Genomic DNA, 11,035 nt, shown 5'->3' on the forward strand with positions numbered 1-11,035 from the left:
CTTGGAAAACATGGCCCCTCATCATGGAGCTACAGTGGCCATTAATAGTTATAAAAAACTAGCTGGTTCTAGGAGTTAAATTTTTGACAAATTAGTGGTAAATGTTTTTTCAAACATGTTTTAAGCAAATTGTTTTATTTAAGTAAACTACCTACATTTACCATTTGGGCTCATTAATTCAACGATTTCATACTCAGTACCCAATTTATATTATAAGTCGTTTATAAGAAAGCTAAGGAGACTGACCAGGCGGAGTGGCTCATGCCTGCAATCCTAGCACTTTGGGAGACCGAAGGGGGCAGATCACCTGAGGTCACAAGTTGGAGACCAGTCTGACCCACATGGTGAAACCCCATCTCTACTAATCTCTACTAAAAATACAAAAATTGGCCAGGCGTGGTGGAGGGTGCCTGTACTCCTAGCTACTGGGGAGGCTGAGATGGGAGAATCACTTGAACCTGGGAGGGGGAGGTTGCAGTGAACCAAGATCATGCCCCTGCACTCCAGACTGGGGGACCGACCGAGACTCCGTCTCACAAAAGAGAAAAAAAAAAGCTAACGAGACTAAAATATGAGTCTTTATTTGAGCATGCTTATTTTGTATACAGAAAAACTGAGACCCTATCACCCATTTTCGCTTAAGTTAATGAACACCACAGATATTAGAGAAGAGAAAGACTATAACCCATAACCTTTCAAGAGAAATCCAAGTATTATGCTTAAATAGGATGGGTCAGTAACTTAAGAATTGACATTTTAGGCCGGGCGTGGTGGCTCATGCCTCTAATCCCAGCACTTTGGGAGACCCAGGCGGGCGGATCACGAGGTCAGGAGATAGAAACCATCCTGGCTAACACGGTGAAACCCCGTCTCTACTAAAAATAAAAAAAAATTAGCCGGGCCTAGTGTTGGGTGCCTGTAGTCCCAGCTACTCAGGAGGTTGGGGCAGAAGGCTGAGGCAGAAGAATCGCTTGAACTCGGGAGGCAGAGGTTGCAGTGAGCCGGGATTGCACCACTGCACTCCAGCCTGGGCAACAGAGCAAGAGTCCGTCAGAGAGAGAAAAAAAAAAAAAAAAAAAAAAGAATTGACATTTTAAAAATGCGTCTTGTGATTTTTATTCTAATTTTTATCAAAGTAACAAAGGTAATTAATTTATAAAAATAAAATGGTATTACATGGTTTATAATTATAAAAAGGTATTCTCCTGTCCCTAAACTCTCATTATTATTGTCCCAATTTTTAGAGTCATGCACTGTTAACTCAGTTAGCTAATTTATCTTAGTATTTCTCTTAGTACACTCTTAGCTAATTTCTCTTAGTATTGCCTAAGAGAAATTACTTAGTACTCTTAGTACTGCCTAAGAGAAATTTAGAAATATGGTTCCATGTTTCTAAATTCTATATGAGAGTAGTTTAGGTTTTCTACACTTACCCAACTCCCCTCAAAACCCTTAAGATTTTATACAAAGGCATCCCTTCCTCCTATCTTCTCAAGATTTTGATATACAATATATAGCCAAATCAATAGTCAGTGTTTACATTACTATGGAGATTAAACTATTATTCACTGTAGCAGGCAGAATAGATTCTACAGAAATTCCCCCAAGCTTCTTATCCTCTGGTTATTTAATCAAACACTAATTTAGCTACTACTGTGAAAGGATTTTGAAGAAGGAATTAAGGTTACTAATCAGCTGAACTTTAAATAGGAAGATAATACTGGGTTATATGAATGGCTATAATGTGATTACATGAGCCCTTAAAACCAGAAAAGGAAAGTGGCATAATCACTTGAAGAGATGTGGCAGAAAATAAAATAAGAGTAGTGAGCAGAGTAATGGAGGTCAGCGAGACATGAAGTGTGAGAAGGACTCAATCAACCATTACTTTTTTGAACACAAAGAGGACCAAAAGTCCAGGGATGCAGGCAGCCTCTAGAGGCTGAGAAGAAGCCCTGCCAAAACCTAGCAAGGAAACAAGGACCTCAGTCCTGCAGAACCACAGAACTGAATTCAGCCAACAACCTGGGTGAAATCCGAAGTAGAGTCTCCTCTGTAGCCTCCAGGTTGAGTTCAGATTGGCCAACATTTTGATTTTAGCCTAGAGAGATCCTAAGCAGATTTTTTGGGCCCAGCCAAGCTCATTTATGTCTGATCTATGCAACTCTGAGATAATAAATCACTGTTGTTTTGAATCTACAAGTTTGTTACAGCAGTAATAGGAACCGAATACATTCATCATTCAGGTATTTAATACAATATAATCACTTTTCATTTGCTAGAAATGTCTGTGCTGGGATCATCCTTTACACTTGGCATATAGCATTCACCATGGCCGTTGCATTTATCTTCTTCCAGTCATGGGTCTGTGCTTTCTCTAGATCCTAGAAATTTTTTTTTTCACTCTTTCCTTTTTTTTTTTTTTTTTTTTTTTTTGTTTTTGAGACGGAGTCTCGCACTGTCATCCAGGCTGTAGTGCAGTGGCACGATCTCGGCTCACTCCAAGTCCTGCCTCCTGGGTTCACGCCTTTCTCCTGCCTCAGCCTCCGGAGTAGCTGGGACTACAAGCGCCCACCACCACGCCTGGCTAATTTTTTGTATTTTTTAAGTAGAGACGGGGTTTCACCGTGTTAGCCAGGATGGTCTGGATCTCCCGACCTCGTGATCTGCCCACCTCGGCCTCCCAAAGTGCTGGGATTACAGGCGTGAGCCACCGCGCCCAGCCTAACTCTTTCCTTTATGTGGGAAGTATCCTTCAACAAGTTTCAGAGATAGAGAAAGAGCGAGCGAGCGAGAGAGATCCTTCAACAGGTTTCAAAGACAGAGAGAGAACCTTAAAAGATCTTTGTTTTTTTAAGGCTTTCCTGAATTAATACTTTTATACTTTTCATTCTGCATTTTATCTGTTCTTTCTTTTTGGAAATTCAGTTACTGATAAACCGAATATTCTAGATACACTAATTCATTTTTAAAATTGTCTGTCTTACTTTCTATACTTGCCTTTGGTTTTGCTTTCTTGGAGTTTTTTTTTAAGCTTATCTTAAGAAATCTCCTTTTCCATTTACATTTCTGATGTCATGTTTTTGGTTTTCAGAAGTTTCTATTGTATGTATATTCTTAAGAGTTCTTATTTTCTGAATATTTCTTTTTTATAGAATACTCTTCTTGTTTTATGGTGGAATTATAGTCTCCTGTATCTCTAAAGAGATATAATAATTTATTGTACTTAGTGTTTCTTTTGTTATCTTTGATATGCCCTATCTATGGCAATAATTGCAATACAATTTTCTATACAAGAAGAAAGTATATTAGCCTTTTTTGTATTTATGACTTACAGAATTTCTTTTGAGTATTCATAGTTGGAATGCATAAAATGTGTCTTTAGGCAGTAGTTTTTGATGTTTATTGAAAAAACAGAAATACTGATAAATTGTATTGCAGTTTCTATTTCAAAACAGGCAATGATGTAATTATAATTGGATGTGTTTTATTATTAAGTATCTTACTGACTTGAGAGAACTTTAATTTCAATTACATGGTGAAAAGAAACAAATCTCCCCTTATATCTAATAGTTGGATAGTCCACAGTGGTTATCAGTTTAATACATCTGAATCTGTTTCTCCTCCATTACCCACATCTTCTGGTATTGACATTATTGGAAGTGTTTGAATTATATTACCTCTGGCTCTGCAGCTTGTTACCTCACCTGGTGAGGCAACTTGGTGGGAAGTACCAGTATTCCTGGAAGTCATTTCTACAACAGGACAGCTAGCAGTAAAATTTAAGACTAAACAAATATTACCGGGAACTGTATACATGTCATCTCCCTAAACTCACATTACATATATTTTCCACTCATCTTTCCTTAATTTGGATCCAAAAAGTACCTGCAGATCCTTGAGCACTACGTAACAGGGAGAAAAGTGGGATGTAAGTGGTGTCAGAGTAAAAAAAGGACAATGATCTTAACTGAATGCAAGTAATATTTTTAAGGTTGAAAATTTTACCAAAATATATATCCAACTGAACACATTTCTGGGTCCCTCTCAAGGTCTTAGAAGGGGCCTATGCAGGTTAAGGGCCCTGAAGCTTGTTTTATTAGCTTCATGACTTATCTACTTCTGCAACCAATTTTCTTTGGGAGTCCACCACAGATAGGAATTTGAAGTATAAATTTTGCCCTAAAAATTCTAAGAAATAGGTCAGGATTATACATTTAATGAATCAACTTCAAGTTAACTCTGTAGTTAAGCCTGAAAATTCACTTTATTATGCAGCTTAGATTATCTGCAACTGCATTATCCTATGTAACCTATCAGAGGTAAGGCAATGAGATAAAATTTCGGCATAATAGAGATAGATACCTTACACTTCAATGTTAACTGACGCTCATTGTGAAACACACAGAAAAAAAAATAAAATTTGAAAATTAAATTCTCTTGCAAATGAGAGTCCAAACAACTATATTTCTCTGAAATTAAAATCTAAATTGTATTGTCTCGTGCTTGAGAGTAGAAATTTAATGAAAATAAGTAAGAACACCATTGTTCATAACTGCTTATTTCCACTCAATTTCATTTGAATTTCAAACCCGGAAGTAGAAATGGGCGGCTTATGGGATCTCTGATTTGGACTATGTTTTGCCAACAGGAGATAGTTCATTCAGGAAAGCCAATGATGTCTGAATCAAGGCATGCTCTCTCACAAATGTTACTTTATAATAGCAGAAACAGTTAATAGGTCACATAAGGCCATTAAGCACTAGCCTTAGGCATAACCCTCCTGGAAAACAAATACATTTCTGTTCTTGGAACACTTATCCCAGGCAAAATGTCTCCCAGAAAGTAACACCCACAGTCTGTGAATGTTTACATTGTGTTTGTTTTGTTGTTGCTGCTGTTGTTTTGTAGAGTGTATCAGTCATTTTATTGAAGGAATTGGAGGACACACAAATTACCCTTTTTCTAGTCATTTTTCTTAAGCCAATTCATTTCTCAAGAGTGTATTTTTCAAATTTCCTATCTTGGATATAATTCTGTATGTTGATGTTCTGGAATGTGAGTAAAAGAAGTGGAATGGGAGATGCCATTATTTAGAAGACAATCCTCATATTTTTCAGTCTCATGCATCAATGTCACTCTTGGTGATGCCAGGTCTCCCCAAGTCTGAAAAGTCTCTAGTTTAAATTAACCAGGGAGTAATTCGTCTCCCATCATGTCAAAAAAGGAATAGGACCCTTGACATAATGAGGTCAGGAAAATGATTTGAAGGTTTCAATTAAATGGCATACTTTTAATCCATCTTGCTCTTTTCAGTCCCTTTCCTCTATCTCTTCTACCTTCAGAGCTACTGGTACTTCTAATTCCAGAGCCTTTTGATGCTTCCATAGCAAGTTTTCTTCCTTTTTGTTGCCTCCTGACTTACAAGTAGTTGGATTTCATCCTTTTATTCTGTGTTAATTCTATTACCAAACATCTGCCTATTTTATAATTCTTACAATTTTGTTGGCCTTGCTCATCCAGTGTCATTTCTCTAGCATACTTCTGCTTTGTTAGTGTATAACTTTTCTTTTCATTATCATTATTTCTAAAGTGTTTTGGATATATACAAGCTAAACGTCTGCATTTAAGCTTTCATGGATGTTATGGACTGAATTGCATCTTCCCAAAATTGTAGGTTGAAATCCTAACACTGATGTTACTATATTTGGATATAGGGCCTCAAAGGAGGCATTTATGGTGAAAAGAGATCAGAAGGGTAGACCTTAATCTAATAGGACTTGTGGTCTTATGAGTAGAGGAAGAGATACCAGGAGTGTGTGCACACAGACAGGAGGGTATATGAGCACACAGTGAGAAGGCAGCCATCTGCAAGTCAAGGAAAGAGGACTTACCAAAAACAAACCCTGTTTGCACCTTCATATTAGACTTCCAGACTGCAGAACTGTGAAAAAGTACATTTTTGGTTATTTAAATCACTCAGTCTTTGATATTTTGTTATGGCAGCCTTGACAGATTAATACAATGTGAATCATTAAATATCACTTTATATTTCTTAACAAATTAACCATCTCACTCATGATTGTAACAAACAGATCATTCTCAGTCATAATTGAGGAATTTGCTCAGCCTATTCAGGGTACTGTAAGTAATTTGGGACACTAAAACATTTATAGAGTACACTTTTGATTTTTGTCAACACTCATCAATTCTCAATGATAGTTTATTAAGTCTGTATCTTCCCTTGAAAATATGCTGTTCTTTGGCTTATGTATGCTCTTATTTATGTTCTGTGGCTTCTTTTGGGTCTTTAACAAGATAGCCCTACAATGTACCATGCAATCTTTCTAAATTCATTATATAGGGATCAATCTCAGATGTCCTGCTCCATTCCAGGGGCTCTGAAGTAGTGAATTAGGGCTCCCCTCATGGGTCTCCCCAGAAGCCTAATCTTTTTCTCTTTCTCTCTCTTCGTCATGGGACTCTAATCCCTTTCTTCTAACATTTCATCTTTTATGCTTCATTTTCTCACCATAATTACTGCCTCTTCCTAGAACAGCTCCACTAAAATGATTAAGTCAGAGTTTGCAAACTCAAAGTATAAGTTTTGAATTTCTTCTATAGATTTTATTCTATTTGTATTTTATTTTGGCCAATAAAATGTTTTCCTATTTCAACCAAGTTTTTAAATTATAGATCTCAGTTCTCATTTGAAAAAATTGTAGATCTGACAACACAGACTACTAAAATATCTATTGGAGATTAGTAATGCTACCTAATTTTATGTGAAGGATGATTATTTTCTTTATAGAATGGATGTGTGTATACCTACAGTCAGTCTGCTTCTCTCTTTACAATGTCCAATATCATTCTTATACACATTTGATTTGACAAAAGAAGTTTTTATTTCAAGAAGTAGTAGAGTGACCACAAAGAGTTGTGCGGGCTGTGTAGCCCCAGAAGATGTAATTTACATAGGTCATTAAGTGGATAACGTTGCCCAGGTTTGTGTACTGGAAACCTAGCACAATGATACAACTATATAAAATAATCTTTAAACTTTGTTTATCTCTCATATTCTTCTTTTTCTTCAGACATAAATATTCATTCGGCAAAGAAACACAAAGTTTTGTTTACCTCTTAGAATGGAGATGGTAAAAGTATCAGGACAACAAAACAGAAGTTAATATCTCAACAAATTATCCTAACACAGTAGTATATAAGAATGAACACTATTATGATATAATCCATAGGAGTAAAATATTTAACACAAATGTCACTAAAGACTGAAAATACCTGTAAAATGTTAAGGCCTTTATGAAATTTCCTTGACAGATAAGTAGTCTGTTATGGACTGAATGTTTACATTCCCCCTAATTCATATGTTAAAATCCTAATCCCCCATATAATGGGATTAGAAGGTGGGACCTTTGGATGGTAATTAGGCCATGAGGATGGAACCCTCATGAATGGGACTAATGCCCATAAAAAGAGACCCCAGAGAGCTCTCCAGCCTCTTTAAGTCATGTTGAAGATACAGAGACAAATTGGCAGTCTGCAACACAGAACAGGGCCTTCACCAAAACTCGACCTTGCTGGCAACTTGATCTCAGACTTCTAGGCTCCAGAACTTTGAGAAATTAATTACTGTTGTTCATAAGCCAGCCAGCCAATAGTACTTTGCTATAGCAGCACAAACTGATTAAGATAGAGTCTAAATAAAACATCAAAAAATTTTGATTGCCATTGTAGTAAAGAGTACAGGACTGCAAACTGGAAGGTCAGAATTCTTATTCTGAATCTTCCCAGGATGCATTGCCATTATCTATTAAAAAAGGAACTAAACTAAGTGATTATTCAGAACTCGTTTTATGTTTAGATTCTTTGAATATAATAAGTACTACAAACTCAATTCCTAACTCCGGAAGAATATAAGATTGACTAGTAAATGCTCTTTTATGGTTGTTTCTAAAAGAAGCTTTTAGTAGAATGATGTTTGTGCTCAGAGCAATCTTATACTGACTTATGTTACTTGTATTATCCTCATGTGTGATAGAAGAGGCTTTGGTTTGACTTGTTTTTTTTATTATTATTTTTCTGGAAGCCACTGCAGATTTAATTTCCCTTTAAGCAGTAGACTAATCACACTCTCTCTTTCACCCCACAGCTTGAACAGATTGAGAGTTTTAATGGTGAAAACATTCAGTGCAGGTAGGGAAAGCCCAGGAGGCTGCAGGAAAAGAGCCCTAAATTTAGTAAGTAAGAGAGATATAATAGCAGTATGAGTTCTGCTGTTTGGCTTCCAGGAAAAATTCATTCTTTATGAATTCTCATATTCTCAGTTTCTCCCTCCTCTTCCCCCACCCCATGCAACCTTGTTCCTATTTTTCTGAATTATTATCCTTTCAGTACTCAGCAGACCCAGAAGAATAGAAAGGTGCTTGCTGCCATCCCTTCATCTAAGCCCCTCTTCTTCAGATTAATTCTTTATCTTTTGTTTCTCAGATCTGAAATATATTCTTTGCAAGACCATTACATTTCTAAGATTTTTCAGAACTCAATTAAAATCATAATTGGCCAGCATCTTAAAACACATTTTGATGCATTGTATTTGGTGACTATCACTCAATTTGTCAATATTTATTGAGTACTCATTGCAAAATCAGAGTAGCAGGAAAAGAATTTTAAAAAAACACTATAAAATACAAGGTCAGCTATGATAAAATGTTAGCTGGAAAGGCATATCCTTTAGATGAGACCCTAATAATCTCCTTATTTCGGGACTATATATTCTTCTGGACTAATAGGAGGAATGAAAAAAGCTATGGCAGAGAATCTATTCAAGGACTGAACTTTCAAGTTCAGAGGATCTTTCTTCTCAGAGTTTATCTTCCTAGAATCTAAATGAAAGTCCAGTTAACAATATTTTTTTTTTCTTTTACTATTGCCAGACTTCACACAAATTGGAAATATTTTATTTCAAAAATTAATGAAGCTATTCTTGATCAGACATTTCAACTTTTTTTTAATTTAGCCTTGATTCTTAATTTTAAGGATAGTATGATTCTATACCGGTGTTGTTATATACCATTTGAGTGAAATGCTAATTGGTTATTATTTAATGGAAAAGTAAAAAATAGAAAAATAATAAATTTAATAACCATATCAAGATTTTATATTTCATTAATAATTGAATAGGAAGCTGTGTATTTTGTATTTAGAGAGTTTTTTTTTATTGTTTTCTGGAGGTTGCATGCCGCTGCTTTTAAGTCTTTTTTACCTAATTTCTCCAATTTAAACTCTTCCTTTCTCCCTCATTTTTTTTTGTTGTCCTATGTAATTGACATCCATTTTTCTGCTGCCTTGTTTATGATTTCTCCACTGTTTTTAGGAAGCTTTTCGTAAATACCAAGGCCCACTGTAGTAATTGCCTCTTGTTCTTCACTATAATGCTACTTATGTTCTGCCCTGCTCAGCAAAAGCAGACTGTATTGCAGAAAGTTTCAGACAAGATGTCTTGTAACATGGGTTCAAGTTACTGCTCCTCCACTTAAAATTTTTGAAGCTATAGTTTTCAATTTCCAAAATGAATTGAAAATGTTTTCTATCTTATGGGTATATTGAGATTTAAATAGGGAAAAATGTAATATTGCACAACATGTTAGGAGTGACTTGTCTTCAAAAATACTGTAGGCTCTGTGAAAATAGGGATTAAAGTCCCTGAAATTTTTTCCTAGTGTTTTGACTAAATCTTTGAACAATATAGGTATTCCATAAATGTCTGTTGGTTAGTTGAATCCCAAATAGAGCTGTTTAAAACAATGCTGAGTCTCTGTTAATAGTCAATATACTTTTCTTTCTAGTACCTGTAATAAATAAATAGCTGTTGTTAGTCATTATGTTTATTGCAGCACTATTTACAATAGAAAAAGCTTGGAACCAACCCAAATGCCCATCAATGATAGACTGGATAAAGAAAATGTGGCACATATACACCATGGAATACTATGCAGCCATGAAAAAGAATGAGTTCATGTCCTTTGCAGGGACATAGATGGTGCTGGAAACCATCATTCTCAGCAAACTAACACAGGAATAGAAAACCAAACACTGCATGTTCTCACTCATAAGTGGGAGATGAACAATGAGAACACATAGACACAGGGAGGGGAACATCACACACCAAGGCCTGTCAGGGGGTGGTGGGGAAAGGGGCGGGAGAGCGTTAGGACAAATACCTAATGCCTGTGGGGCTTAAAACCTAGATGATGGGTTGATAGGTGCAGCAAACCACCACGGCACATGTATACCTGTGTAATAAACCTGTACGTTAAGCACGTGTATCCCAGAACTTAAAGTAAAATAATTTTTAAAAACCACATTTAAAACCACAATTTTAAATTTATTTTACATTTTTTTAAAATAAATTTTAAAAACTCTGTAAAGACAGAAAGATAGATTTGCAGAAAGTTATTTGTTGTATTTTCTACGAACTAAAATTTTCTGTTTGCTTCATATCCTGGAAAGGCAGACAAAGATAATTTGAGGGAGAAAATCTGTCTTCAAGGCCACAGGAAATGTTTAGTTGAAACACATTTTCACACTTTTATGTGAAATTCTCATTTGGTGCTACAAATATCACCTTTAAAAACACTAATTCCCTTTATTTTGTATAATATAATTTCTTATAATATTCTCTTTTGCCTTTTTTCATGGAGGGCTGTTTCCAGAAATCTCAGGTCAAATACGGCTCCTACATCTTTGAACTTCTATAGAACTAACTTATTTGGCGTAACTTGAATGGCCTTTAACACTATTTGTTGTGAATTTATTTTATTCTTGTCTTAATACATTTTATGAGCTTCACGTGGGCAGATAAAGTGTTCTTTTCCTCTTAGTAGGTACGGTAGGCTGAATAATAGCTCCCCAAATTAATCCACATCCTAAATCCTGGACACGTGAATGCTAATTTGTATAACAACAAAGAATTTGAAGATGTGATGAAGTTAAGGATTTTAAATTGGAACATTATACT

This window comes from Homo sapiens, chromosome 4 (assembly GCF_000001405.40).
Source record: "Homo sapiens chromosome 4, GRCh38.p14 Primary Assembly".
Lineage (NCBI taxonomy): Eukaryota > Metazoa > Chordata > Mammalia > Primates > Hominidae > Homo > Homo sapiens.